The 26,026-nt window shown below is 44.9% G+C and overlaps 1 protein-coding gene and 1 long non-coding RNA gene across 7 annotated transcripts in view, besides 7 other annotated features; one reads left to right on the top strand and one right to left on the bottom strand.

The window, feature by feature from the left end:
- The window catches only part of WDR33 (WD repeat domain 33), a 110,145-nt gene extending 102,643 nt beyond the window's left edge, over positions 1–7,502 (bottom strand). For 5 of the 6 annotated variants that reach the window (XM_005263697.4, NM_018383.5, NM_001006623.4 and 2 more), the window contains exon 1: positions 7,343–7,502. The gene's annotated coding sequence lies outside the window, so the exon portion shown is untranslated. Of the gene's footprint in view, positions 1–7,079 lie in introns of all 6 variants that reach the window. The other variant, XM_011511436.2, reaches the window with a different exon arrangement.
- Positions 5,577–6,484: an enhancer, noted in NCBI's record as "H3K4me1 hESC enhancer chr2:128566820-128567727 (GRCh37/hg19 assembly coordinates)". NCBI's record gives its function as "activates a minimal SCP1, AML or CMV promoter by ChIP-STARR-seq in naive H9 embryonic stem cells {active_cell/tissue: H9 hESC(naive)}" and the evidence as "EXISTENCE:reporter gene assay evidence [ECO:0000049][PMID:30033119]".
- Positions 6,567–7,507: an enhancer, noted in NCBI's record as "NANOG-H3K27ac-H3K4me1 hESC enhancer chr2:128567810-128568750 (GRCh37/hg19 assembly coordinates)". NCBI's record gives its function as "activates a minimal SCP1, AML or CMV promoter by ChIP-STARR-seq in naive and primed H9 embryonic stem cells {active_cell/tissue: H9 hESC(naive and primed)}" and the evidence as "EXISTENCE:reporter gene assay evidence [ECO:0000049][PMID:30033119]".
- Positions 6,914–6,993: an enhancer, noted in NCBI's record as "active region_16502". NCBI's record gives its function as "activates an Ori minimal core promoter by ATAC-STARR-seq in GM12878 lymphoblastoid cells {active_cell/tissue: GM12878}" and the evidence as "EXISTENCE:reporter gene assay evidence [ECO:0000049][PMID:35858748]".
- Positions 7,074–7,153: an enhancer, noted in NCBI's record as "active region_16503". NCBI's record gives its function as "activates an Ori minimal core promoter by ATAC-STARR-seq in GM12878 lymphoblastoid cells {active_cell/tissue: GM12878}" and the evidence as "EXISTENCE:reporter gene assay evidence [ECO:0000049][PMID:35858748]".
- Positions 7,174–7,463: an enhancer, noted in NCBI's record as "active region_16504". NCBI's record gives its function as "activates an Ori minimal core promoter by ATAC-STARR-seq in GM12878 lymphoblastoid cells {active_cell/tissue: GM12878}" and the evidence as "EXISTENCE:reporter gene assay evidence [ECO:0000049][PMID:35858748]".
- Positions 7,582–10,063, top strand: LOC124907885 (uncharacterized). The gene is made up of 2 exons (XR_007087230.1): positions 7,582–8,474; positions 8,843–10,063. It is a non-coding gene; the product is annotated as an uncharacterized LOC124907885 (long non-coding RNA).
- Positions 7,734–7,803: an enhancer, noted in NCBI's record as "active region_16505". NCBI's record gives its function as "activates an Ori minimal core promoter by ATAC-STARR-seq in GM12878 lymphoblastoid cells {active_cell/tissue: GM12878}" and the evidence as "EXISTENCE:reporter gene assay evidence [ECO:0000049][PMID:35858748]".
- Positions 16,512–16,712: a silencer, noted in NCBI's record as "peak3858 fragment used in MPRA reporter construct". NCBI's record gives its function as "represses an SCP1 promoter by STARR-seq MPRAs in K562 erythroleukemia cells {active_cell/tissue: K562}" and the evidence as "EXISTENCE:reporter gene assay evidence [ECO:0000049][PMID:32103011]".

Raw genomic sequence — 26,026 nt, forward strand, 5'->3', positions numbered from 1 at the left:
CAAGCATCCAAATCCTGGTTTATAAATAATATTTTCTACCAAAAGAACTGGGACTCCTTGGAGAAATGGGAAGATACAAAAGGAAAGGAAAAGACAAGAAGGACTTGGGTTATTGTTTTGCCAAAAAAGCAAAGGAGCCCTCAAATTAACTGGGGTTAGTGCCAGGTGCTTGGGAGACTGAGGTAGGAGAATCACTTGAGCCCAGGAGTTCCAGGCTGCAGGCAGCTATGATCTTGCCACTGCACTCTAGCCTGGGCAACGAAGTGAGACCCAGTCTCAAAAAAAAAAAAAAAAAAAAAGACCAAAAGCAATAAGGGCCAAATACCTGCTCCTGCTTAAAGACTAAAGAGATACGAAATATCTAGATTGGGACCGGGTGCGGTGGCTCACACCCGTAATCCCAGCACTTTGGGAGGCCGAGGAGGGTGGATCACAAGGTCAGGAGATCGAGACCATCCTGGCTAACACGGTGAAACCCTGTCTCTACTAAAAATACAAAAAATTAGCCAGGCATGGTGGCGGGCGCCTGTAGTCCCAGCTACTCGGGAGGTTGAGGCAGGAGAATGGCGTGAACCCGGGAGGCGGAGCTTGCAGTGAGCCAAGATCATCCCAGCCTGGGAGACAGAGCGAGACTCTGTCTCAAAAAATAAATAAAAAAAGAAAAGAAATATCTAGATTGGATACTGGATTAGAGAAAGAAAAATTCTGTGAGATGTTACTGAGACAACTAGAGAAATTTGAGTATGAATTTTCAATACTATATAAATGTTCAATGTCCAGAATTAGTTAATATTGCGGGTACTTAACTTGTTCTTGAGCAGAGAAGTGCGGAGAAGTGCATATCTGTGAATAACACTAAATGGCTCCGAAAATAATACATGAGGGGCTGGGAGGCAGGAAGGGAGGAATAAAGCAAATGTGACAAAATGTTAAAAATGGGTGAATCAGAATAAAAAGTACATAGGAGTTCTTTGAACTATTCTTCCAACTCTTCTGTTAGTTCATATTTATTTCAAAATTTAAACATTTAAACACGAAAGGGGGAAAGCAAAAGCTCTTTATTACAGAAAACAGTTAATGAATATAAACAAATAACAAAATTAGAAAACCCCCAATAAATGACTCAGCTAATAATCATCAATCATTAAGTGAAAAATATTTTGAGAAGTGAGGTACTCACATGATGCTAAAGTTATCACCCCACAGATCAAGTATAACTGCAAAGGGAAAAATATACCTCTTTGATGAAGAAATCCAATGGACACATTAACCAGGTAAATTTGGCATTGTAAATAACGCAAGCTAACATCTGGCAGTCCCTACCACCTTATTGAAGGCTCATAGCTAGAAGTATATCCTCACAACATAAATCACGTATCATCACCTGTGAAGTTTTTTCTTTTTTTTTTTTTTTTTTTTTTTTTTTTTGAGACAGGGTTCTCTTGTCGCCTAGGCTGGAGTACAGCAGCAGGATGTCGGCTCACTGCAGCCTCCACCTCTCTGGCTCAAGCCATCCTCCTGTCTCAACCTCCCAAGTAGCTGGGACTACAGGCGCAGGCCACCAAACCCAGCATTTTTTTTTCTTTTTTTAAAATAGAGACAGGGTTTTGCCAAATTGTCCAGGCTGGTCTTGAACTCCTGGGCTCTAGCAATCCATCTGCCTCAGCCTCTCAAAGTGCTGGGATTACAGACATGAGCCAGCGCACCTGGCCTCTATGAAGTATTTTTGCCAAAAATATTTGACCCAAATTTAGTCAAACCTCTCTAGATCTAACTTCTAGTTTACAGGAAATAAAAGGAATAGAGAAACAACAGGAATTGAGAAACAAAATACATGACATTTTAAGCATACAATAAGAAATTCCAAAATATGGAACGTTCTTTAAAAAGATGAGGCTAGCTGTTTGTGGTGACAGAGTCAGGAAGGGGCAGCAGGTGCCAGGTCCGGCCTCAAAGGTGGCAAGAAGAACCCTTTGAAACTGCCCAAAAAGCAGGCCAAGAAGATGAATAAGGCTTTCAAGCAGAAACAAGAAAAGGAACGAAAGAAACACAAGGAGCTAAAAGCGAAAGCCTCCTGGAAGGGGCTCCGGCCACAGGTGGAATTTAAAAATCTGGCAGAAAGTAAGCTGTGCCCTGTGCCTGAAGCAATGGTGACCCTTGATTTCATTCGTATTTAAACATCTGTATTCCCTGCCATAATATCTGTTGCCACCTATAGCTGGAATGAAGTGTCGTCTTGAAGCTGGAGTCTACTGCACATTAAAGAATAAACTTTTGTTTAAAAAAAAAAAAAAAACCGCAGGTGTGGTGGCTCACACCTGTAATCCTAGCACTTTGTGAGGCCAAGGTGGGCAGATTGCTTGAGCTGGGAGGTTGAGGCTGCAGTGAGCTGTGATTGTGCCACTGCACTCCAACCTGGATGACAAAGTAAGACCCTGTCTCAAAATAAACAAAATTTTAAAATTTTAAATAAAAAATATTAATAAAATAAATTAAAATGCTTACAGTGGCTCATCATCTCTTTAGTTGTTTTTCTTTTTCTTTTTTTTTTTTTTTTTGAGACAGTCTCGCTCTGTTGCCCTGGCTGCAGTGCAGTGGCACAATTTCAGCTCACTACAACCTCCACCTCCTGGGTTCAAGCGATTCTCATGCCTCAGTCTCCCGAGTAGCTGGGACTACAGGCATGCGCAACCACACCCGGCTAATTTTTGTATTTTTAGTAGAGACGAGGTTACACAATGTTGGCCAGGCTGGTCTCAAACTCCTGACCTCAGGTGATCTGCTCACCTCAGCCTCCCAAGTGCTGGGATTACAGGCGTGAGCCACTGCGCCCGGCCTCTCTTTAGTTGTTTTCACTCCATTCCTGCCTTAGCTATGAATTTAAAGTAAAACCAGCCCAGAATCTTGCCAGAGACTGCTCTTTGGTCTTTGTTCTACCCTAAACTCTGTGTAACCTAGAATTAAACCAACTCTTCAACAACTGTGGAACAAAGCCAAAAAAAAATAGAACTACACCAACTCATTCGAAAAAAAAAAAAAGATGATGCTAAAGATTTCATGCTAATTGCCTTAGGTATGATAATGATTTTATATGTTTTCAGCTGGAGACTGGCTTGAAATAAAAATGTAGAAAAGCGTAGGAAAAAGCATTATTTCAAAGACATGCATCCTGAGGTATTACAGGGAAAAGCAGTATATCTGCAATTTAATTTCAAATCATTCAAGAAAGGGAGGATATAGAGTTAAAGCAAAATGGTTAAATGTTGGTTAACAGTCGAATCCAAACAGAAGGCATATGGGTGTTCACTGTAGTATTCTTTCACCTTTGCTGCATGTTTGAAATTTTTTTTTTTAAGACGGCATTTCACTCTTGTTGCCCAGGCTGAAGTACAATGCGCAATCTCAGCTCACTGCAACCTCCGCCTCCAAGGTTGAAGCAATTCTCTTGCCTCAGCTTCCCAAGTAGCTGGGATTACAGGAATGTGCCACCACGCCCAGCTAATTTTTTTTGTATTTAGTAGGGATGGGGTTTCACCATGTTGGCCAGGCTGGTCTTGAACTCCTGACCTCAGGTGATCCACCTGCCTCGGCCTCCCAAAGTGCTGGGATTACAGATGTGAGCCACTGCACCTGGCTTGAAATTTCTTAAAGTTGCAAAAAAGTTACCAGAATATTCCATATACCAAAAAAGGAAAATTGCTGCTCCACCTACTAAGTTGAGAGCAAACAGAGTAGAGAGCAGGTGCCTATAACAACAAACTGCCTAAAGCACAGTTTTGCACGTATCATCCCACTCAAGGATCTGCTCAAAATGGTAAGGCATAGAGGCAGGTACTAATGGGACACAAAGTAACAGAAGGCAGTCACACAGACACTAGACTAACTAAACAAGTTATGAATAAATGAGAGTCACTGAAGACCTCATTAATTGGATTTAGCTGGATTTTAAGGACTGAACAGAATAGGAATAGTGTGAAAGGAAGGAGAATACAATCTAGGCAAAGAGTTAATAAGCAACAGCCAAAGATCAGAAATAAACCAAGTCATGAGGGGAATTTTTGTAGAAAATTCATTCTTCAATTTGTATAATGCCTAGGTTTTAGGAATACAAAAATATAAGGTACTATAGCACGTCTTCAACGTGCTCACAAAGAGCTGGCAGCAGGGACTCATGACTCCCAAGACTTTGAAAGGCTGAAGTGGGAGGATCGCTTGAGCCTAGGAATTAGAGGCTACAGTGAGCCATGATCATGCCACTGTATTCCAGCCTGGGTGACAAAGTGAGACCCTGTCTCAGAAAACAAACAAACAAACTAAAAACCAAAGTATTCACAAGTAGTGGAGAAGGTATAGTCAAAATACATTAAAGATATATACAAAATGCTTTAATAGCAGAGAAAGGAGTGATTAACTTATCAGAGGAATGAGATTGTCAGTAAATTTCAACAAAGATATTTGAGTTAATGTTTAAAACTGAAAATGATGTCACCAATTAAATTCATCACAGAAAGAAAAAAAATGTTAACATTTAAAGAATGCCTACTATATATGAGGCACTTTTTACCTTTAGGTTTTATAGTTAACATTCTTATATACAAAGAAACTGAAGCTTAGAGAGTTTAATTAACTGACCCAATATAAAAAAGGTAGTTAATGGTGAGCCTGGCATTCAAACCTAGGTCCATTTGCTGCTGAAACCCATACATGCCCTTTCCAATACTACCTAGCTCTGGGAATTTATAAGCACACAAATCATGAGTACAAGATACAATACAACTTTAGAAAGTCAGTCACTACCAGAAAATTAGTAAAATGTTTAAGGGCCAGACAGATGAGAGTAGCACTGCTCAGATTTTCCAATACACTGAAGAGCTTCAGTCTCTAGGACTAATGTAAATGGTTTGAAATGGGGAGATAAATGTTACCAAAGAAAAATCATTTTCAGCAGAGCGCGGTGGCTCATGCCTGTAATCCCAGCACTTTGGGAGGCCCAGACAGGTGGATCATTTGAGGTCAGGAGTTTGAGACCAGCCTGGCCAACATGGTGAAACCCCGCCTCTACTAAAAAATACAAAAATTGGCCAGGTGCGGTGGCTCACGCCTGTAATCCCAGCACTTTGGGAGGCCGAGATGGGCGGATCACGAGGTCAGGAGATCGAGACCATCCTAGCTAACACGGTGAAATCCCGTCTCTACTAAAAATACAAAAAATTAGCCGGACGCGGTGGCGGGCGCCTATAGTCCCAGCTACTCGGGAGGCTCAGGCAGGAGAATGGCGTGAACCCGGGAGGCGGAGCTTGCAGCGAGCCAAAGATCGCGCCACTGCACTCCAGCCTGGGCGACAGAGCGAAACTCTTGTCTCAAAAAAAAAAAAAAAAAAAAAAGAATTCCAGAAACACATTTATAAGTGAAAATTTTTCACTAATATCTTTGTCGTAATCATAAAGCTTTTCTGTAACCTTACTATCCTATTCTGAAATATGAAGCAGTTCAAACTTCAGCCATAATCAAATAATATTCCACCGCAAAGTAATGGGAAAAGTATATGAACTTATTACTTAGCAAAGAGAGCTCTGAATAAATACCTTAAGTGCTTAGTAAAAATATAATTAAAGCCTTACGTCAATATAAAACCGTGATGGCAAAATCTGTTTAGTATTTTTCACCAACCAAAGAAAATTATCCAAGTTAAGCCATCAGCTTCACAGATAAACATTTATTTTTGTCTAAACCATTGTAATATATGTAAGCCAAATTCCTTTTTTTTTTTTTTTTTTTTTTTTTGAGACGGAGTCTCGCTCTGTTGCCCAGGCTAGAGTGCAATGGCGCGATCTTGGCTCACTGCAACCTCTGCCTCCGGGGTTCAAGTGATTCTCTTGCCTCAGCCTCCCGAGTAGCTGGGATTACAGGCGCCCACCACCACACCCAGCTAATTTTTGTATTTTTAGTAGAGACGGGGTTCCGCCATGTTGGTCAGGCTGGTCTCGAACTCCTGACCTCAGGTGATCCGCCCACCCTGGCGTCCCAAAGTGCTGGGATTACAGGCGTGAGCCACCGCGCCCGGCCATAAGCCAACTTTCTACCAAAATTCTTCCTAGGAGTACAGGAAAGACAAGTTAAAATTTCTCCCCAAGTTTCAAGAAGATAGTCTAAATATGGAACTTCAAGTCTCAGCAAAAACTCAAATCTATACAATATTTTATCTTCTCCCGGTCAAGGAGACAAAAAAAGCAAAAGTATCTTACAGTAATAAAAAATGGGTAAAATGCAATTAAGGCGAGGAAATGAAAAATGCCACAAGAGGTACAACTAGCATAACTGTCACTAAAAGGTTTGAATTAAGTAGGTTTACCACTGCACCATATTCACAGGCTATATATACATACACACACACATATATACACATATATATGTATATATAGCATGCATTAGCTCTCCAGAGTGTACTAAAAAAGTAAAGTCTACGCTCCCCAGAGTTGTTCCTTTCAGTGCAGGCTTTTTGTTCATATTCTAATGTCTTCCAAAGTTCCTGAACAGTCAACTTAAGATCATGTGTGTAGAAACTACTTTAAAACATTCTTGACAGGCTTTCTACAAGTAGCCCGTATTTTTCTGATTTGATTTAAATAGATCCAATTACGGAATTCCCTACCGACCTGCCGCCGCCGCCTCCTCCTTACTCCGGAAGGGGCCACTAATCCCAAGGGTTACAACCAAGTACAAACATTCATTGTCATTTCTTTTAAGAAGGCATGCTAAGATCCTCACTACTTAGTTGCCAGAAGACAACTTAAAATCAGAAACAGGGATCTAGCACAAACCAAATAGAAATACAACTATTCCAAAAAAGCAGGGCTTTGCCTGTCAAGCTGTAGCCTCATCCTTATAATAAGCACCGATTTCAAGCCACGATAACATCACGGCTAAGTCTTCAGCTGTTTTGCAGATTTCACGTTAACTTCCCTTGACCCTTTCAACCAACTACTTCAACTCGGCCCACTTCTTTCCACTCCCGCCCCAAACCTCAGTTAAAATGCATTTCCCTCCAAACTTCACGTCTTAACTGTGGCCTGACTTACGTCTTCTCGTCGCCACCGCTCCCAGTCAGGGCCTTAGTTCTAACCATGGCCGCTTTTCCCGGTTGGCCTCCAGCCTCCAGCCCCCTCCCATAAGTCTCGAACCTGCCTCGAACAGCCGCCCCGAGGTCGATTCTCCCAGTTCCTCCAACCTGTGCCCAGGCGCCCGTCCAGGCCCCCAAAGCACGCAACGGCCGAGCCCGAAAATGGCGGAGAGTGCCGCTGCCTGCTGCAGGCGAGCAGTCCCGTGTCGCCGCCGCACTCACCGTCTGGCTTTGAGCAGAGCTCCTAAATGGCCAGCGAAGCGTTCGCCTTCAGAGCCAGAAATGTCTCTCTTGTTTGGTCTCCCCACCCCGATCCTCTCAATCCCGCTCCTCCAAAGGAGCAGCCGCCATCTTCCCCTATGGGCCACCGAACGCACGCTCTGGGGTCATCACGCACTGGCGGGACGGCGCTACGTCACGCGCGCCTGGACCGCGGGCCTCTGTGAGGTTCGATCTGCGCATGTGCCTAGGTGAGGTGCCGAGCCGCGAGACCCTGCAGAGCGCTTCCTTTGTTCCGGAGCGAGTAGGACGCGCTACCTCCTGGAGGAAAGAAGCGACTGCGTTTCGCAGTGCTGACTTTTTTTTACAGTGTGAGCTAACGTGTATGCTCTGAAAAACACCCCGTTTTCCAGTATGTGAATGAGTATATTTGTACGGGGCCAGTACGGCAGACATAGCGGGTCGTTGGACCGAGCCCACCGAGAGTGGATCTGTGGGAAGCCACTGTGGCACCTTGCTGAGTCTGTTCACCCGTGCAGCTAGCTGGTGGCAGCCCTGGCAGATCCCGGCACACAGTCAGGCTCCACGCCTTACCCGAGCCAGTTGTGCCTCTAGATTACGCCTCGCTTAAAGTCCAGCGACCAAGATAGAAAAACAGCCCCACGATGCAACCATTTTGGAAAACCGCTGCAGTTTCTGCCAAAGCTAAATGTACGCTTACCTTGTGACCCCAGAAATTTCACTTCAAGAGGAATGAGTGCATACGTCCACCAAAGGCATGTGCAAGAATGTCCATAGCACGTTTATTCGTAGTAGTAAAAAACTGGTAACCTAAATGTCCATCAGCAGTTGAGTGGCTAAATTGTGGTGTATCATACAGTGGATTTCTACAGAGAAATAGGAAGTTACGGATAAACGCAACAGCCTGAACGAATAGCAGCTACTGTTAACTTAGGCACAAAGAAGAGGACGCTGTATGATTCCATTTTGATGAGGTTCAAAATATAACTGCACAGCAAGTTGTTCTCCAGTATGAATCAGGAATCGTACCAGCCTGGGGAACATGGCGAGATCCCATCTTTGCGCGTCGGGGTGCGTTCCTGTGACCGCCTTCCTGTGATCGTTCCTGTGATGGGTACTTGGGAGACTGGGGTGGGAGGATCACTTGAGCCCAGGAGTTGGAGGGCGCAGTGAGCCAAGATCGTGCCAGTGCACTTAAGTCTTGGAAGCAGAGTAAGACCCTGTCTCAAAGAAGTCTTACTTTTGACTCCATAATCCCCTTCCAAAAATCTATTCTAAGGATAGCCTCAGAGATGTGAGTAAGATTTGTGTACTAATCTTTGAGGTATTAATGATAGCAAAAAAAAAAGGAAACAGTAGCAGACAGTGATTAAATAATGGCACATCCATACGTAGACTATCATGCAGACATTACACAGTATCTAAAGTTTTTATGATAACATCAGAAATGTTTATAAACTTCTATATTTTTTCTTTTTTTAGAGACAAGGTCTCTCACCCAGGGTGATCATAACTCACTGCAGCCTCAACCTCCCGGGCTCAAGTGATCCTCTCACCTCAGCCTCCCTAGTAGCTCAGACTAATGACCTGTACCAGGACACCCATACCCAGCTAATTTTAGTAGAGACTGTCAGGCCTCAGAGCCCAAGCTAAGCCATCATATCCCCAGTGACTTGCACGTATACATCCAGATGGCCTGAAGCAACTGAAGATCCACAAAAGTGAAAATAGCCTTAACTGATGACATTCCACCATTGTAATTTGTTTCTGCCCCACCCTAACTGATCAATGTACTTTGTAATTTCCCCGACCCTTAAGAAGGTTCTTTATAATTCTCCCACCCTTGAGAATGTACTTTGTGAGATCCACCCCCTGCCCACAAAACATTGCTCCAAACTCCAATGCCTATCCCAAAACCTGTAAGAACTAATGATAATCCCACCACCCTTTGCTGACTCTCTTTTCGGACTCAGCCCACCTGCACCCAGGTGAAATAAACAGCCTTGTTGCTCACACAAAGCCTGTTTGGTGGTCTCTTCACACGGACACGTGAGACAGAGACAAGATCTGATTATGTTGCCCAGGGCGGTCTCAAACTCCTGGGTTCAAGCAATCCTCCTGCCTCAGCCTCCCAAAGTGCTGGGATTACAGGCCATGCGCCACCACGCCCAGCCCCTATAATCTTATTTTGATATGTGTCTAGAAATATGTAAGGAGGCCAGACAATTCCAGTTCTGTGTGATGAGCTTAGGTTAGGATGGAAGGAAGCCATGGACACCCTGAGTGCAAGGCAGGAAAGCCAGGATAGAAGGCAGGATTCTCAAGGGCTGAAGGTAGGGAATGGGGTCAGGAAGGTAACGCTAAGAAGTCCGCTCATCAATTGGGTTTAGAAGTTAGGCAGAAAAGACAAGCAAGTGGTCAGTTCCTAGAAATTATACTGGGAGTGGTAGAGGAGGCATTCAGGCAGTGTCCTGATCCCTGAAAATCTTTAAAATGTACTGAATTGGAGGAGCAGTCTAATCAAGGGCAAAAATCCTTCACACCTGTAACCTCACAGGCCCCTTCCTGGAAAATTGTTTTTTAAATTGACCAGGAGACAAATGAATCTGTTAAGTATACTGCAAGGATGCAGTCAGCCATATTCTATATTTTATAAAATTTTACATGTGATACATTTTCTTCCAATAAAAATTTAAAAACTGAGGAAAGAAACTGTTAGAGATTATCTGTTACAGGTTAGAGACTTAAGAGGCATATCAACCAAATGGAATGTGTACTCCCTATTTGGGTCCCAATTGAACAAACTGGGGGGAAAAGACATTTTAAAGAGTTTTTAAATTTGTTATATGTAACAACTATATTTTCATTATTTATTTATTTATTTTGAGACGGAGTCTTGCTCTGTCGCCCAGGCTGGAGTGCAGTGGCGCGATCTCAGCTCACTGCAACCTCCGCCTCCCAGGTTCAAGTAATTCTTCTGCCTCAGCCTCCTGAGTAGTTGGAATTACAGGCTTGCACCATCATACCCGGCTAATTTTTGTATTTTTAGTAGAGACGGGGTTTCACTATCTTGGCCAGGCTGGTCTTGAATTCCTTACCTTGTGATGCACCTGCCTCGGCCTCCCAAAGTGCTGGGATTACAGGCGTGAGCCACTGCGCCCGGCCTTTTCATTAATTTTTTAAAATCTTTACCTGTTGGCTGGGCACCGTGGCTCACACCTGTAATCCCAGTACTTTGGGAGGCTGAGGTGGGTGGATCACATGAGGTCAGGATTTCAAGACCAACCTGGTCAACGTGGTGAAATCCCATCTCTACTAAAAATACAAAAAAAAAAAAAAAAAATAGCTGGGCATGGTGGTGGGCACCTGTAATCCCAGCTACTCAGGAGGCTGAGGCAGCAGAATCGCTTGAACCCCGGAGGCGGAAGTTGCAGTGAGCCAAGATTGTGTCACTTCATTCCAGCCTGGGCAACAAAGCAAGACTCCATCTCAAAAATAAATAAGTAAAATCTTTACCTGTTGTGTCCTGAAGTATGTATGAGTTAAATGATATGATGTCTGGAATTGGCTTTAAGTGATTCCAGCCAAGCACATCAGCAGAAATGGTTGAGTAAGAACATCTGAAAATCTTCTCCTTCATAAAAGCCACAAAACACTGGCAAAATTTTGTCAAAATCAATTTTTTCAGTGTTCAGAGTGCTGGAAATTAACCAAGGTCTTTCAACAAGATAAGGATTGTTTATTCAAGAAAAAAAATGGCTAAATCTCCACTAAGTTACAAGGGAGGAGAGAGGGACATAGACACAAGATTGGCTAGGTGATAGGTAAATGACAGTTCACTATCCTGATTTATTTATTTACTTCTTTTTTTAGGGACATAGCGTCTCCCTATGTTGCCCAGGCTGGCCTTGAACTCCTGGCCTCAAGTGATCCTCCCATTTGAGCCTTCCAAATAGCTGGGACTATAGGGGTGCACCACCACACCTGGTTAATTTTCTCAATTTTTTATAGAGATGAGATCTCACTATGTTGCCTATGCTGATCTTGAACTCCTATCCTTAACTGATCCTCCCACTTCAGCCTCTCAAAACACTAGTATTACTGGCATTAGCCATAGCACCCAGCCACTATTGTCTTTACACATACATGAAAATATTGTATACAAGTACATTTTTCCTACACAGATAGGATACTATCCAAATTGTACTCTTTTGGCAATATATCTTGGCACCTTTCCTTCTCAGTTCACGTGTAGACATATCTTCGTTCTTTGTAACAGCTTCTCAGGCCTGAAGCGGTGGCTCATGCCTGTAATCCCAGAACTTTGGGAGGCCTAGGTGGGAGGATCACTTGAGCTCAGGAAATCAAAACCAGCTAATACAAATAATGCTGCAATCACCATCCCTGTGCATTCTTTATATGTAAATACAGCTGAGTATGCCACCTCCCACTGGATTAGCATAGACTATTTCTACGCATCCTGTTCTCATCATCTCTGCATAATACAGCTTTCTCCCCCCTTTCTAGAGGCAGAGAAAGCAAGCCTGCTAACAAAAAAAATCAGAAACAAACTACGCCAGGTGTGGTGGCTCATGCCTGTAATCCTAGCACTTTGGGAGGCCGAAGCGGGCGGATCAACTAAGATCAGGAGTTCGAGACCAGCCTGGCCAGCATATGGTGAAACCCCATCTCTACTAAAAAATACAAAAATTAGCTGGGCATGGTGGTGCATGCCTGTAGTCCCAGTTACTTGGGAAGCTGAGGCAGAAGAATCACTTGAACCCGGGAGGCAGAGGTTGCAGTGAGCCGAGATCGTACCACTGCACTCCAGCCTGAGCCACACAGCAAAACTCTGTCCCTAAAAAAAAAATAAAAGGAGGCCAGGCGCAGTGGCTCACACCTGTAATCCCAGCACTTTGGGAGGCCAAGGCGGGCAGATCACGAGGTCAGGAGATCAAGACCATCCTGTCTAACATGGTGAAACCCCATCTCTACTGAAAATACAAAAAATTAGCCAGGCGTGGTGGCGGGTGCCTGTAGTCCCAGCTACTCGGGAGGCTGAGGCAAGAGAATGGCATGAACCCGGGAGGTGAAGCTTGCAGTGAGCAGAGATCGTGCCACTGCACTCCAGCCTGGGCAACAGAGCGAGACTCCGTCTCAAAAAAAAAAAAGAACAAACTAAACTAGAGTCTGAATGAAAGACCAAAGAAGACATTACATAAAGTTTATTTAAACATGCATTTCAGATACTTCAAGAAAACAAAAACTGCCTATTAGAATACTGCGTACACAACTACATGTCTAGACTGCAAAGCATGAGGGGGAAAAAAAAGAACACTGGACCCATGTCAGTAGGCTCAGGTCAGAGTCCTGGTTTTGCCACCAGTAAACTGAGGTTGGCCTCTGTTTACTCCATTACAATGCTGTTACAGAAATTCTAGAACACTTGGCAAATTCCAATACCCAGCCCAGAGTTTGCCCTAAGCTTTGGGAATACTTGAATGCTGCCAGTAAAGCCTCATCCCCATGTGTTAAATACTTTTCTATCTCTAGGAATTCCATTAGTCCTATAGTCCTGAGTTCAAATCTTTTCTGGAATTTTCATCTTACCTCTAACTTGCTGATTGCATAATACTGATTTTTCTGAATTTTATCTTGCTCCTTGGTAAAATTGAATAACATGATTCAGTCTTGAAAGTAAGGCCAGGCGCAGTGGCTCACACCTGTAATCCCAGCACTTTGGGAGGCCAAGGTGGGCAGATCACCTGAGGTCAGGAGTTCAAGACCAGCCTGGCCAACATGGCAAAACCCTGTCTCTACAAAAATACAAAAATTAGCCGAGTGTGGTGGCGCACTCCTGTAGTCCCAGCTACTCAGGACACTGAGGCAGGAGAATTGCTTGAACCCGGGAAGCAGAGGTTGCAGTGAGCTGAGATTGCGCCACTGCACTCCAGCCTGGGCATCTCAAAAGAAAAAAAAATAGAAAGTAAATTGTTAATCTGACCACATTTCACCTACACTGCTGTCATTCTGGTCTGGATATCAACAGACTGTGCCTGAAGTCTAGTTAAGAATGGCTTTTACATTTCTGAAGGGTTGTTTAAAGAAAAAAAAAAAAAAGAAGAAGAAGAAGAAGGTGGCCATGGTGATCTGCACCTGTAGTCCCAGCTACTCAAGAGACTTGAGGCACAGGGATCCCTTCAGTCCAAAAGTTTGATGCCAGTCTGTGCGACATAGCAAGACCTCCATCCCTAAAAATAAGTAAATGAAAAGAAAAAAAAAAGACTAAGAGCATATGACAAACCATAAGTAGCCCACAAAGCCTGAAATGTTCTCTGACCCTTTACAAAAGAAAGGGATGTTGAGCCCTGCTCTAATCCAATCCATTCTTGCTTACTGCTGTAATGGTCACCTATCCTCCCTGATTCCGTTTTCATCAGTTTCCCCTCCTGCAATGCACTTTCTATATTGCAGCCAGAATCACCTGGTTAAAACAAAATCAGTTCTGGTGTGGTGGCTCATGCCTGTCATCCTAACACTTCGGGAGCCCAAGACAGGTAGATCACTTTAGGTCAGGAGTTTGAGACCAGCTGGCCAACATGGCAAAAACCCACCTCTACTAAAAATGCAAAAATTAGCCGGCCATCATAGCACATGCCTGTAATCCCAGCTACTCAGGAGGCTGAGGCAGGAGAATCGCTTGAACCTGGGAGGTGGAGGTTGCAGTGAGCCGAGATCGTGCCACTGCTCTCCAGCCTGGGTGACAGAGCGAGATTCAATCTCAAAAAAAGAAAAATCAGATCTCATTCTCCTCCTTGCTTAGAACCTCCAAACAATGTACCAATGTGCTGGGTGTGAAATCCAAACCTCATGAGCCATAATCCAAGTCTGTTTACACCTGAAACAGGTGTTTTCATTTTTCCCTGACTCGAGAAGCTCCAGCCACTCCAGCTTATTTCTTCTGCACTCATACTTCCACCCATTCTACCTCCCAGTAGCTTTTCTCATAACTGGATCCTTGTGATACAGGAGCTAGAAATAATTTATTTAGGCAGATAGTGAGGGTAGAGGAGTCTTTGGCAAGGCTTTTCTTTTAACAAAAAGCAGCCCCAAAATAACTTCTTTTCTAACAAAGAGCAGACTGAAAAATCAAGTTGCAGACATTGATAAGCAAGCTAGAAGCTTGCACAGGTGAATGCCGGCAACTGTGCCAATAGTAAAGGGCTACCTTGAAGCCAGGTATGTTCAACATAGAAGCTCCGTCCTCCCTTTTCTTTTTTTTTTTTTTCGATCCTCCCTTTTCTTTGTCACCGTGTGTACAGTAAAGAACCAGGCAACATGGTGCCAGCCAGATAGAGAACCCATCTGCATAATAAAAGATTAGGGTGGGGCGGCCAGCCTCTTTGCACAGTATGCAAATGGCACACCTGGTCCGACCAATCTTTCATACCCTATGTAAATCAAACACCACCTCTTCAAGCTCATCTATAAAACCTCCTGCACTTCATTGCAGAAGCAGCAACCCATTTTCTCCAGGACACCTCTCTGTGAAGAGATCTCTTCTCTTTCTTTCACCTGTTAAATTTCTGCTCTGAACCTCACTCATTGTGTGTCTGCGTCCTAGTGTTCTGTGGCTGTGAGACAATGAATCTCAGGTATTTACCCCAGCCAATGACGCCACTTCATTGTGGAGGCTCATCCAAGATCCAAGGTAGATTCATTGGAAGGGTGAGTATAAGAGCAGACCCCAACCCTTTCCTTTTATTTCGCGGCCTCTCATTCTCCATTTTAAAATTAAACAAAATGCTGGGCATCTGATGGCCATCTATATGCCTTTAGGGCATGCCACCAATCTCAAGACTCAGGCAGGAAGCTTTCTGGGGAGAATTTAGTGAATCCTTCAGTGCCCTCAGGGTGCTGTGAATGTGGGCTTTGTTTCAAACTGGTTTCCTTTCACGGAGAGCCTAGCCATCATGTGGGGCTGGAAGAGGTCTAGAGGCAACTCATAGTTCCTGTCCACGGCAACACCCTGGTGTTACCCAAAGGCTTCTGGACTAACATCAGCCACTGACTGCCTGTTGGGTGTCAGCAACAGGATCTCCAGCTTCTTCTATCACAGTTTTCCTCCCTTCCTATTTTTGACAGCCACGTCTCCTAAGCCCTCTCTGTATGCAGTGCTGCAGGAACTTTTACAGTTCAGGGAAGTAATTCTGTTACGCAAGACCAGCCAATGCCATAGTAACCGGGAATATAGATCAAGGGATTGCCATTTTTGTGATTTTATAGGAACAGAGGGTTCCCTCCCACCCCCATTGAATGTGTCTTTCTTTACCCTTGGCCCAGAGAGCACATGGCATTTCAAGGTCAACAGAGCCACCGAGTGGAATAGGAATCCTCTCCATGAAGCACACTGCAGGTCCTTTGCCAAAACACTCTAGCTTCCCAATTCTTTTCCCTTTTTGTGCTCCTCTACTAGAAACCAGGCTTTATGTCCCCTTCTCCGAACAGGAAAACTCTGCCTTCAACAGTAAGGAGAAAAATGTCCTCCAAAACCAAATTTTAGTCTTGATACTGTCCCATCAGCAGAAAAACTGCCATTTGGTCCCTACATTCTTTTAAAGCACCTACTCTGCCTCAAGTCAAAATGGTACTTCAATATTAAGGGAATTTTATGTCCAGAAGTTAACCACAGTCACTGCCTAAGAATAAATCCTTTTTTTTTTTTTTTTGAGATGGAGTCTCGCTCTGTCACCCAGGCTGGAGTGCAGTGGCACGATCTTGGCTCACTGTAACCTCCGCCTCCCGGGTTCAAGCGATTCTCCTACCTCAACCTCCCGAGTAGCTGGGACTACAGGCAGCCACCACCACACCCAGCTAATTTTTGTATTTTTAGTAGAGATGGGTTTCACCATATTGGTCAGGCTGGTCTCGAACTCCTGACATCAGGTGATCCATCCACCTCGGCCTCCCAAAGTGCTGGAATTACAGGCGTGGGCCACCATGCCCAGCAAGAATAAATACTTTAGTCCAGGACATAATAGCTATTTATAGAGCTCAAACCAGCACACTCCCTCCATTAAGGGGCCTTGCCCAAAAGCAACTGTTACATAGTCTTTCCCAAGATCCATTTATCAGAGAATCACATGGATCACACAAGTCTAAGAAGTCAAAGGAAAATCACAAGTGGAGGACTGGAGCTGCATGGGTGAGCGTGACTAATACTAATCGCTTAGTTCCTCCGGTTCCATGGCTGAGGATCAAGTCTGCATCCACAGGCAGCACCTTTAATGGATGCCAGCGCTCAGGAACCAAGGAAGAAAAACAGTTGGGGGAACAACCCCACTGTCTTCTCATCCACCCTGGGCCATTCCAAAGGAAAGGAAGGAGACCAAAGGAACACCTTTTTCTTGCTTCTCTTTTTCAATGGGTAACAGACCATCTTTGGCCTGCACTCCTCTGGAGTGCATACTGAAGCACTGCGACTCCTTTAACCCCAAGACTTTGAAGAAAAACGTGGTGGCTCATTTTCTTTTGCACAAGGGTATGGCCTTACTAGACCTTTGGAGGTGTTACACAATGGACCCCACTCTTTTAGCAGTCATATCAGGCAGGCCCAAAGGGAATGAATCCCCAAAACTAGAGAAGCAACTTCCAGGGGAATCATCTGAGGCAGCTGTTCAGTGTATGAACCACTTTTTCCCTCCTTATTTGGGGATCCCTCCAACTGCACCATCAGCCCCTCCAGCTCCACTATCTCTAAAACTCTCCACTCCCCCAGCTTCATTCTTACCCCTACAAGAAATGCCCAATGGAGGTAATGCCACTAGGGTTCAAGTTCCCTTCTCATTGCAGGACTTTAGGCAAATAAAGGGAGGCTTGGGCTGATTTTCTGATGATCCCAATAAGTAGATCCCAATAAGTAGCAGCTTTCCAAAACTTAACTCAGGTATTTTACCTCTCATGGAGGGATGTTATGCTGCTCTTAAGCCAAAACCTGATCACAGCTGAAAAACAGGCAGCTCTCCAGGCAGCAGATAAGTTCAGAGATGAGCAATATGTCTCCTATAGTAGGCCAAAAAGGAAAAGAGTAAATAGGGAAAGTCAAGAAATAGGGGAACGATAATTCCCAATGGGAAGAGAGGCAGTACCTTTTGACAACCCTGATTGGAACCCCAATAACTCCACAGAATGGAACCCTTTTTCTATTCCACAGAATGGAAAAGGAAACACTTTTCAATGTGCATATTGGAGGGCCTATGAAAACCTAGGACCAAACCTCTTAGTTAAACTGTGCATGTTAGACCAAAAGCCAGATAAGAATCCCACAGCCTTTATGGAAAAGCTGAGAGAGGCACTAATAAAACACATCTCTTTATTCCCTGATTCAGTCAAGGAACAGCTCATCCTCAAGGACAAGTTTATTATATAGGCAGCTCCCAGTATTAGAAGGAAATTGCAGAAGCAGGCTATAGGACCAGATAGCACCTTGGAAAACCTCCTGAGGGAGGCCACCTCGGTCTTTTATAAAAGAGACCAGGAGGACGCCCAAGATAAAGAAAGGAAACACAAGAGGAAGACAGAGGCTTCTAGTAGCTGCTCTGCGGGCTTGCAAAGTCCAGGATCCCCAAGGTGCATCCACTAGTTGCTACTGGTGTGGCAAGTCAGAGCACTTTAAGAAGGAGTGCCCAGGCAACAAGAGGAAGCAACCTTGACCCTGTCCAGTCTGTGGCAGAGACCACTGGAAACTGGACTGCCCCTGGAGATGGAGGTCACTGGGTTCAGAACCAGTCTCACAGATTGTCCAACAGGACTAACTGGTCCTGGAGCTCAAACCCCCAGCTCCAGCAGCTTGAACTGCCATTACTGCACAGGAGCCCCAGGTGATTCTGGAAATCGAAGGAAGGAGGGTGACCTCCTTCTGGACACTGGAGCCAGCTTCTCTCATCTTCCCTTTAATCCAAGACTCCCCTCTTCCCGTAGCACAACTGTGATGGGTGTCTCAGGAAAGGTTCTAACCTGATATTTTTCTCAACCCCTTCGTTGTAGTTGGGGGGGACCTATTATTTACACATGCCTTTTTAATTATGCCTGAAAAATCCCACTCCTTTATTAGGTAAAGACATTTTAGCTTGCATGGGGGCCAGCATCCTTATAGCCCCAGACAAACTCTTCCCCCTGGTGGAAGCTAATATTAATCCAGAAGTGTGGGCAACTCAAGGAAAAATAGGTCAAGCTATTAACTACTAGGCCAGTTCGGATCCATCATAAGGCTCCTACTTCTTTTCCTAACCAGAAACAAGATCCCCTAAAGCCAGAAGCTAGGAAAGTGCTAGAAGCCATTATGAACCTAAAGATGTAGGACCTCCTGAAACCCTGTAACAGGTCCTGCACTGTTAAGGTCCTGCACCCCAATATTAGGAGTGCAAAAACCCAGTGGGGAATGGAGATTAGTTCAGGAACCTCACCTCATTAATGAGGCTGTAGTCCCAATTCATCCAGACTGTACCCTCTTCACGGATGGAAGTTCCATTCTGAAGCAGGGAGTCCAGAAGGCAGGATGTGCAGCAGTCACTCTGAATGATGTTATTAAAAGTGTACCCCTCTCTCCAGGCCCAAGCACTCAACTAGCTAAACTAATAGCTCTTACAACAGCACTTGAATTAAGCAAGGGAAAGCTAGTTAACATTTACAGACTCCAGGTATGCTTTCTTAGTTCTTCATGCTCACGCTGCCGTTTGGAAGGAAAGACACTTTCTTACTGCTAATGGATCCCCTATAAAATACTGCCAGGAAATTAACAGGTTATTATCCTCAGTTTTCCTTCCATGAGAGGTAGCAGTGATGCATTGTAAGGGACACCAGAAGGGAACAAATTAAATAGCTGAAGGAAACAAGTTAGCTCATCAGGCAGCCAAGTCAGCAGTAAGGAAGCCTCAGAGCATCAACACACTTGAAGCCCCTCTCATCTGCGAAGGCTCCATAAGAGAAATTAAGCCTCAGTACTCCCCTGCAGAGATAGAATAGGCCATCTCTCCAGGGTAAACTTTTCAGCCCTCAGGATGGCTACAGTCAGAGGATAGCAAGCTCCACTTGCCAGCCTCCAGCCAGTGGAAAGTCCTTAAAGTTCTTCACCAAGCTTTTCACTTGGGAAAGGATAAAACTTACCAGTGTGCTCAGAGTTTTTTTTCAGGAGAGAGCTTAATAAAAACAGTCAAACAGGTTGTTAATGCTTGTGAAGTCTGTCTTAAAAATAGTCCCCTTGGCCATGCACGGTGGCTCACACCTGCAATCCCAGCACTTTGGGAGGCCGAGGCAGGTGGATCACCTGAGGTCAGGAGTTTGAGACCAGCCTGGTCTATATGGTGAAACACCATCTCTACTGAAAATACAAGAATTAGCCAGGCATGGTGGCATGCACCTGTAATCCCAGTTATTCAGGAGGCTGAGGCAGGAGAATAGATTGAACCTGGAAGGTGGAGGTTGCAGTGAACTGAGATCACACCACTGCACTCCAGTCTGGGCAACAGAGTAAGACTCTGTCTCAAAGAATAATAATAAAAATAAAATAATAAAATATAAAAATAAAGTTACTCTAGCCACCCAATCCAATGCCACTTATCCACTTAAAAAAATGTTACTTTTAGGCCGGTCGCGGTGGCACATGCCTGTAATCCCAGCACTTTGGGAGGCTGAGGTGGGCGGATCACAAGGTCAGGAGTTCGAAATCAGCCTAGCCAACATGGTAAAACTCCATCTCTACTAAAAATACAAAAATTAACTGTGCATGGTGGTGCATGCCTGTAGTCCCAGCTACTCTGGAGGCTGAGGCAGAAGAATTGCTTGAACCCAGGAGGCAGAGGTTGCTGTGAGCTGAGATCATGCCACTGCACTCCAGCTTGGGCGACAAAGCAAGACTCCATCTCAAAAAAAAAATGTGACTTTTATATTAATGCTTCTGATAAAGTACAGTAACACCTGCTGAAAGGAAACCAGTAGTATAACCCATCAGAATGGCTAGCAGGTATCAAACTCTACTGTCATGGTTGTAGTCTATAGTACTCCCAATAATAGTGGTAATTTTTTTTTTTTAATTTGATGGAGTCTTGCTCTGCCACCCAGGCTGGAGTGCATTGGCGCGATCTTGGCTCACTGCAGCCTCTGCCTCCTGAGTTCCAGTGATTCTCTTTCCTCAGCTTCCCGGGTAGCTGGGATTAAAGGTGCACGCCACCATGCCCAGCTAATTTTTTTATTTTTAGTAGAGACAGGGTATCACCATGTTGGCCAGGCTGGTCTCAAACTCCTGACCTCAGATGATCTGCCGGCCTTGGCCTCCTGAAGTGCTGAGATTACAGGCGTCAGCCACCACACCTGGCCAACAGTGGAAATTTTAATACTCATATTTAAATGCTATATTCTGGGCCAGGCACAGTGGCTCATGCCTGTAATCCCAGCATTTGGGGAGGCCAAAGCAAGGAGATCACGAGGTCACGAGTTCAAGACCAGCCTGGCCAAGATGGTGAAAGCCCGTCTCTACTAAAAATACAAAAATTAGCTGGGCATGGTGGTGGGTGCCTGTAATCCCAGCTACTCAGGAGGCTGAGGCAGAGAATTGCTTGAACCCAGGAGGCAGAGGTTGCAGCAAGCCGAGATTGTGCCACTGCACTCCAGCCTGGGCGACAGAGCAAGATTCTGTCTGGAAAAAAAACAAAAAACACACAAAAAAAAACCCATGAAAAATAAGATAAAATAAAAATAAATAAATGCTATATTCTTTTTTTTTTTTTTTTTTTGACAGTCTCACTCTGTCACCCAGGCTGGAGTGCAGTGGCGTGATCTCAGCTCACTGCAAGCTCCGCCTCCCAGGTTCATGCCATTCTCCTGCCTCAGCCTCCCGAGTACCTGGGAATACAGGTGTCTGCCACCACACCTGGCTAATTTTTTTGTATTTTTTAGTAGAGACGGGGTTTCACTGTGTTAGCCAGGATGGTCTCGATCTCCTGACCTCATGATCTGCCTGCTTTGGCCTCCCAAAGTGCTGGGATTACAGGCATGAACCACTGCACCCGGCCACAATAAATGCTATATTCTAAACCTTAGTGTAAAATTTGTCTCTTATTGCCTAGAAGCAATTGAACTCCAAATGGTGCTGCAGATGGAACCACATATGGACACGCCCTTCTTCCGAGGACCCTTAAATCAACCCCAGGAAAAGCCCTAGATGCTGTTCCCCACGAGATGTGCCTCTTCAGCAGAAAGTAGCCAAAAAAAAAAAGGTTGTCATCCAACACCCCCTAACAACAGTTAGGGTTACCACTCCTGAGGGGGGAGATATGATACAGGATCTAGAAGAAATTATTTAAGCAGATAGTGAGGGGAAAGGAATCCTTGGAAAGGCTTTCCTTTTAACAAAAAGCACCCACAAAATCATTTCTTTTCTAACAAAGGGCAGCCTGAAAAAGCGAGTTGCAGACATTGATAAGCAAGCTAGAAGCTTGCACAGGTGAATACTGGCAACTGTGCCAATAGAAAAGGGCTACCTGGAAGCCAGGTATGTTCAACATGGAAGCGCCGTCTTCCTTTTCTTTGTTACCACATGTACAGTAAAGGAACAGGCAACATGGTGCCGGCCAGGTAGAGCACCTATTTTCATAATAAAAGATTAGGGTGGAGGTGGCCAGCTTCTTCACATGCTATGCAAATGGAACACCTGTTCCAACCAATCTTTCGTGTCCTATGTAAATCAAACACCACCTCCTTAAGCTCATCTGTAAAACCTTCTGCACTTCACTGTGGAGGCAGCAACCCATTTTTTTTTGTTTTATAGATGAAGTCTCACTTTGTCACCCATACTGGAGTGAACTGGCATGATCTCAGCTCACTGCAACCTCCACCTCCCGAGTTCAAGAAATTCTCCTGCCTTGGCCTCACAGGTAGCTGGGACTACAGGCATGTGCCACCATGCCCAGCTAATTTTTGTATTTTTAGTAGAGACAGGGTTTCATCATGTTGGCCAGGCTTGTCTTGAACTCCTTACCTCAAGTAATCCGCCCTCCTCGGCTTCCGAAAGTGCTGGGATTACAGGTGTGAGCCGCTGCGCGTCACCACCAATCCATTTTCTCCAGGACCTCTCTCTGTGCAGAGAGCTCTTCTCTTTCACCTATTAAACTTCCACTCTGAACCTCACTCTTTGTATATCCGCATCCTAGTGTTCTGTGGCTTTAGACAAGGAACCTCGAGTATTTACCCAAGACGATGATATCGTTTCATTGGCAGCTCAGATACATCTCTGTAAGGAGAGCAATCTCAAGTGCCGTGATATGGTTTGGCTGTGTTCCCACTCAAATCTCATCTTGAATTGTAACTCCCACAATTCCCACGTGTCATAGGAGGAACCTAGTGGAAGGTTATTGAATTATGGGATGGGTCTTTCCTGCACCGTTCTCATGATAGTCAATAAGTCTCATGAGATCTGATGGTTTTAAAAATGGGAGTTTCTGGCCGGGCGCAGTGGCTTATGCCTGTAATCCTAGCACTTTGGGAGGCCGAGGCAGGTGGATAACTTGAGGTCAGGAGTTCGAAACCAACCTGGCCAACATGGTGAAACCCTGTCTCTAATAAAAATACAGAAAAATCAGCCAGGCATGGTGGTGGACACCTGTAATCCCAGCTACTGGGAGGCTGAGGCAGGAGAATTGCTTGAACCTGGGAGGCAGAGGTTGCAGTGAGCCAAGATTGCACCACTGCACTCCACCCTCAGCAACAGAGTGAAACTCCATCTCAGAGAAAAACAACAACAAACAAAGAAACAAAAAACCCAGGAGTTGCCCTGCACAAGCTCTCTCTGCCTGTCACCAGCCATGTAAGATGTGACTTGCTCCTCTTTACCTACTGCCATGATCGTAAGGCCTCTTCAGCCATGTGGAACTGTAAGTCCAATAAACCTCTTTCTTTTATAAGTTACCCAGCCTCTGGTATGTCTTTATCAGCAGCATGAAAACAGACTAATACAGTAAATTGGTACCGGTAGAGTGGGGCATTGCTGAAAAGATACCCAAAATGTGGAAGCCATTTTGGAAATGGAGAACAGGCAGAGGTTGCAACAGTTTGGAGGGCTCAGAAGAAGACAGAAAAATGTGGGAAAGTTTGGAACTCCCTAGAGACTTGTTGAATGGCTTTGAGCAAAATGCTGATAATGACATGGACAATGAAATCCAAGCTGAGGTGGTCTCGGATGGAGATGCAGAGCTTGTTGGAAACTGGAGCAAAGGTGACTCTCGTTTTGTATTAGCAAAGAGACTGGTTGCATTTTGGCCCCGCCCTAGAGTTTTGTGGAACTTTGAACTTGAGAAAAATTATTTAGGTTATCTGGCAGAAGAAATTTCTAAGAAGCAAAGTATTCAAGAGGTGACTTAGATGCTGTTAAAAGCATTCAATTTTTTTTGTTTTGTTTTTGTTTTTGTTTTTGTTTTTGAGACAGAGTCTCACTCTGTCAAGCCAGGCTTGAGTGCAGTGGCATGATCTCAGCTCACTGCAGCCTCTGCCTCCCGGGATCCAGTGATTCTCCTGCCTCAGCCTCCTAGGTAGCTAGGATTACAGGCACATGCCACCACGCCTGGCTAATTTTTGTATTTTTACTAGAGGCGGGGTTTCACCATGTTGGCCAGGCTGGTCTCGAACTCCTGATCTCAGGTGATCGCCCGCCTCAGCCTCCCAAAGTGCTGGTATTACAGGCATGAGCCACCATGCCTGGCCAAAAGCAGTTTTTTTTTTTTTTTTTTTTTTTGGAGACAGAGTTTCACTCTTGTTGCCCAGGCTGGAGTGCAATGGCATGATCTCAGCTCACAGCAACCCCTGCCTCCCAGGTTCAAGCAATTCTCCTGCCTCAGCCTTCCAGAGTAGCTGGGATTACAGGCATGCACCACCATGCCTGGCTAATTTTTGTATTTTTAGTAGAGATGGGGTTTCTCCATGTTGGTCAGGCTGGTCTCGAACTCCCGACCTGAGATGATCTGCCCACCTCGGCCTCCCAAAGTGCTGGGATTACAGGTGTGAGCCACTGCGCCTGGCAGCATTCAGTTTTAAAAGGGAAACAGAGTATAAAAGTTTGGAAAATTTGCAGACTGACCATGTGATAGAAAAGAAAATCCCATTTTCTGAGGAGAAATTCAAGCCAGCTGCAGAAATATCCACAAGTAACGAGGAGCCAAATGTTAATCACCAAAACAATGAGGAAAATGTCTCCAGGGCATATCAGAGACCCCCTGCTACAGCCCCTTCCATCACAGGCCCAGAGGTTTAAGAGGAAAAAATGGTTTCATGGACTGGGCCCAGGGTCTCTCTGCTGTGTGTAGTCTAGGGACTTGGTGCCCTGCATCCCAGCCACTGCATTCATGACTAAAAGAGGCTAAGGTACAGTTCAAGCTGTTGCTTCAGAGGGCAGAAGCCCCAAGCCTTGGCAGCTTCCATGTGGTGTTGAGCCTGCGGGTGCACGGAAGTCACAAATTGAGGTTTGGGAACCTCTGTCTAGATTTCAGAGGATGTATGGAAATGCCTGGATGCCCAGTCAGAAGTTTGCTGCAGGGGCAGGGCCTTCGTGGAGAACCTCTGCTAGGGCAGTATGGGAGAGAAATATGGGGTCAGAGCCCCCACACAGAATTCCTACTGGGCACCACCTAGTGGAGCTGTGAGAAGAGAGCCACCATCCTCCAGACCCCAGAATGGTAGATCCATCGACAGCTTGCACTGTGTGCCTGGAAAAGCTGCAGACACTCAAGGTCAGCCTGTGAAAGTAGCTGGGAGGAAGGCTGTACCCGGCAAAACCACAGGGGTGGACCTGCCCAAGACCATGGGAACCCACCTCTTGCATTAGTGAGATCTGGATGTGAGACCAGAAGTCAAAGAGATCATTTTGGACCTTTAAAATTTGACTGCCACACTGGATTTCAGACTTGCCCTGTTACCCCTTTGTTTTGGCCAACTTCTCCCATTCTGAATGGCTGTATTTATCCAATACTTGTACCCGCATTGTACCTAGGAAGTAACTAGCTTGCTTTTGATTTTACAGGCTCATAGGTGGAAGAGATTTGCCTTGTCTCAGATGAGATGTTGGACTGTGGGCTTTTGAGTTAATTCTGAAACTAGTTAAGACTTAGGGGGGCTGTTGGGAAGGCATGATTGGTTTTGAAATGTGAGGACATGAGATTTGGGAGGGGTCAGGGGTGGATTGTTGTGGTTTGCCTGTGTCCCCACCCAAATCTCATCTTGAATTATAACTCCCACAATTCTCACATGTCTTAAGAGGAACCAGGTGGGAGGTGATTGAATTATGGGGGTGGGTTCTTTCCTGTGCTGTTCTCATGATAGTGAATGAGTCTCACGAGATCTGATGGTTTTAAAAATGGGATTTTCCCTGCATAAGCTCTCTTTGCCTGCCACCATCCATGTAAGATGTGACTTGATCCTCCTTACCTTCTGCCATGTTTGTGAGGCCTCCCCAGCCATGTGAAACTGCAAGTCGAATAAAGCTCTTTATTTTGTAAATTGCCGAGTCTCGGGAATGTCTGTATCAGCAGCGTGGAAACAGACTAATACACACCATATCTAATGTAATACATATTCCCAGGCTACTCTAATTAGCTGCTTTTTTTAGGTCTGTCTCTCCCCACC

Source organism: Homo sapiens, chromosome 2, assembly GCF_000001405.40.
Source record: "Homo sapiens chromosome 2, GRCh38.p14 Primary Assembly".
NCBI lineage: Eukaryota > Metazoa > Chordata > Mammalia > Primates > Hominidae > Homo > Homo sapiens.